General features: G+C 42.5%; 1 annotated feature.

Annotated features, from left to right (window-relative positions):
- Positions 1,884-2,457: an enhancer, noted in NCBI's record as "OCT4-NANOG-H3K27ac hESC enhancer chr3:8155298-8155871 (GRCh37/hg19 assembly coordinates)". NCBI's record gives its function as "activates a minimal SCP1, AML or CMV promoter by ChIP-STARR-seq in naive and primed H9 embryonic stem cells {active_cell/tissue: H9 hESC(naive and primed)}" and the evidence as "EXISTENCE:reporter gene assay evidence [ECO:0000049][PMID:30033119]".

Below are 2,800 nucleotides of genomic sequence, written 5' to 3'. Positions count from 1 at the left end.
GATTGGATGAGATTTGCTCCCATGATGGAGCATAATCTGCTTTATTCAGGCTACTAATTTAAATGTTAATCTCATTTTAAAAATGCCTTCTCAGTGGCATCCAAACTAATGTTTGACCAAATATCTGTATGCAGTGGCCCAGCCAAGTTGACCTATAAAATTAAACCACTAGAACCCCAAAACAGAGAATCAGATTTTTCCACTTCCCTTATTCTCTTTGGGGCTTCTGCAAATCCCTGGAGTGAGACAGAGGGGAGCAATAAAATAAACTGATTGTCTGCCTTCCAGTGGGTGCAGGTTCACTTGATCTTAGCCAAAAGGCCAAGAAATGATAGTGAATACAAGTTCAAGGAAAAATTAAATTCAACTATTGGAGAAATAGTCCCATGTCTAGAATAGCCAGGTATGTGAGTTGACATCTCTAATGGCCGTTTGTGCTTCCTCCAGGGCCTGACTGCCCTGCTCCGTCATCTCTGGCATATCTCTTGAGAATCACCTCCTTTGGATGTCTCCAGAAGCTCTCTCTACAGAAATGGTTTCTCCCTCCTCCAGGCTATATAGCCCACTGCATGCGCCTCTACTACTGAGACCACTAAGCATCCTCCTTTCCTGGAGGCATTTCCTACCCAGCCTCCCAGAGTTCCCAAGGAGACTCAGTTCCGCATGTCCTCAGTCATCATTTGCTTATTAAAAGTCCTTTTATCGGCATTTTTCCTTTCCCTGTCTCATCCCACCTTTATCTTGTCTTGTTTCCGGGGATCCCCTCCCAAATAAATTATGTGCCCTCCAGTTCTTTTCTCAGAGTCTGCTCTGAAGAAACACAAAACAAAACAGTGGCCTTTTTAAGAGCATTCATTTTACCTTTTTTGGTTTAACCAAAGAGTAGATCCTTGATGAACAGTCAATATGAGAGATTTAAGTTACATACAGAATATTATGCAACCTCAGACTATGAAAAGTTAGATTTAAAGGGTTGTATATAAATCAAGACCTGATTTCTCACTGTCTTATTTGTACTACTGACAGTGAGTAGTTCCTACTAATGTTTGAACATGAAGTTTCACTGGCTGTTTGTCTCTCTCTGCCAGCGTCAGAAACTACACATACTTCTCTGTAATAGACAATGTCAGTATCTAAGACTTTTATAGTGGAGAGGGTCATAATATATCCATTGCATAAGTTTAGACTCCTCACATAAATTATTTTAAATAAGGTATACAGCAAACACTATATATACATATATGTGTGTGTGTGTGTGTGTGTGTGTGTATGTGTCTGTGTGTGTGTATAAAATTCATTCTAATGGTTCAATGAATATGTATTGAGTATTCTAGCAGCTGAGCATTCAGCAGCAAACCAAACAAGCAAATCCTTTCCTTGCTAGAAGAGCACATTGGAAAGATGACATTTAAGCAGACCTGAAGGAGATAAAGGGGCAGGCATGTATAAACCTGGGAGAGAGTTCCAGCAAAGAAAACAGTAAGTGCAAAAGTCCTGCACACACATACATTTGGTGTGTTAAAAAATGTTGTAAATGTAGTTAGGAGGCTGGTGAGGCTAGAGCAGAATGATTAGGAGAGGGAGGAGCAGATGAGCAGATGAGATCTGAGAGACGTGGGGAGCTGAGAGAAGATTGTCCAGGGTCTAGTAATGATTTTGACTTTTCCTCTTATTGTAATGGGAAGCTACTGGAAGATTCTGTGCAAAGCAGTGACAGGGGCTGCCATATGGTTTCAAAGGATCACTCTGGTTACTGTGTGGAGTAGGGAAAGCGCAAAGAGAGTTTCATGTGCGTCCGTGTGAAGAGACCACCAAACAGGCTTTGTGTGAGCAACATGGCTGTTTATTTCACCTGAGTGCAGGTGGGCTGAGTCCGAAAAGAGAGTCAGCGAAGGGAGATAGGGGTGGGGCCATTTTATAGGATTTGGGTAGGTAAAGGAAAATTACAGTCAAGGGTGGGGTTTGTTCTCTGGCGGGCAGAGTGGGGATCACAAGGTGCTCAGTGGGGGAGCTTTTGAGCCAGGATGAGCCAGGAGAAGGAATTTCACAAGACAATGTCATCAGTTAAGTCAGGAACAGGCCATTTTCACTTCTTTTGTGGTGGAATGTCATCAGTTAAGGCAGGAACCGATCATCTGGATGTGTACGTGCAGGTTACAGGGGATGTGATGGCTTAGCTTGGGCTCAGAGGCCTGACAGAGAGAAGCTGGGATGCCTTTGGCATGATTACAAGTGCAATCGTTGACTACTAATTTGTGACGTCATTTAGATAGAAAACAAACCTTAGGAAAACAAGCCCATAGATTCTTCATGGGAGGAGCAATAAGCCACTCCAGTATGCTATCATATAATTTCTTTTTCAATCAGCAAGGAGCTTAATTGCACGGTAGCAGCTGAAAACCCATTGTTCACCAAATAACGAAACAATTTCAATGAAAAGAGGAAGATCTAGCCAATGGAAGAGTCAAGTTCTCAAGGGGAAGTTCCTGGAAGCCAGATTTGATGCTGTTTTTTTTTTTTTTTCCATCATCCTATGTTGCTTGTGAAAGGAGACTTTATGTTTCCTACCAGAATCTGCAAATTGAAGGCCTCTAAGCCAAGAAACTGGAGACCTGTGATCTCACTGTGGGTCTGTCAGAACCTTGTCAGGTGACCTTGGGACACATCACACACTGCCCTGGCCTCTGTTTTCCAAGTTTGTATAATGTGCGGTAGTGTTGCCTTGCTACTGTTATTTCATCAGCTTGTTTGAGGGCCTCCTGAAACGATGCATATGAAAGCACCTTGTAGCTCTGAAAGC

The sequence above is a fragment of the Homo sapiens genome, chromosome 3, assembly GCF_000001405.40.
Source record: "Homo sapiens chromosome 3, GRCh38.p14 Primary Assembly".
NCBI classification, from domain to species: domain Eukaryota; kingdom Metazoa; phylum Chordata; class Mammalia; order Primates; family Hominidae; genus Homo; species Homo sapiens.
The sequence above is the reverse complement of the archived record's forward strand: the minus strand, read 5'-3'. Positions and strand labels throughout refer to the sequence as shown.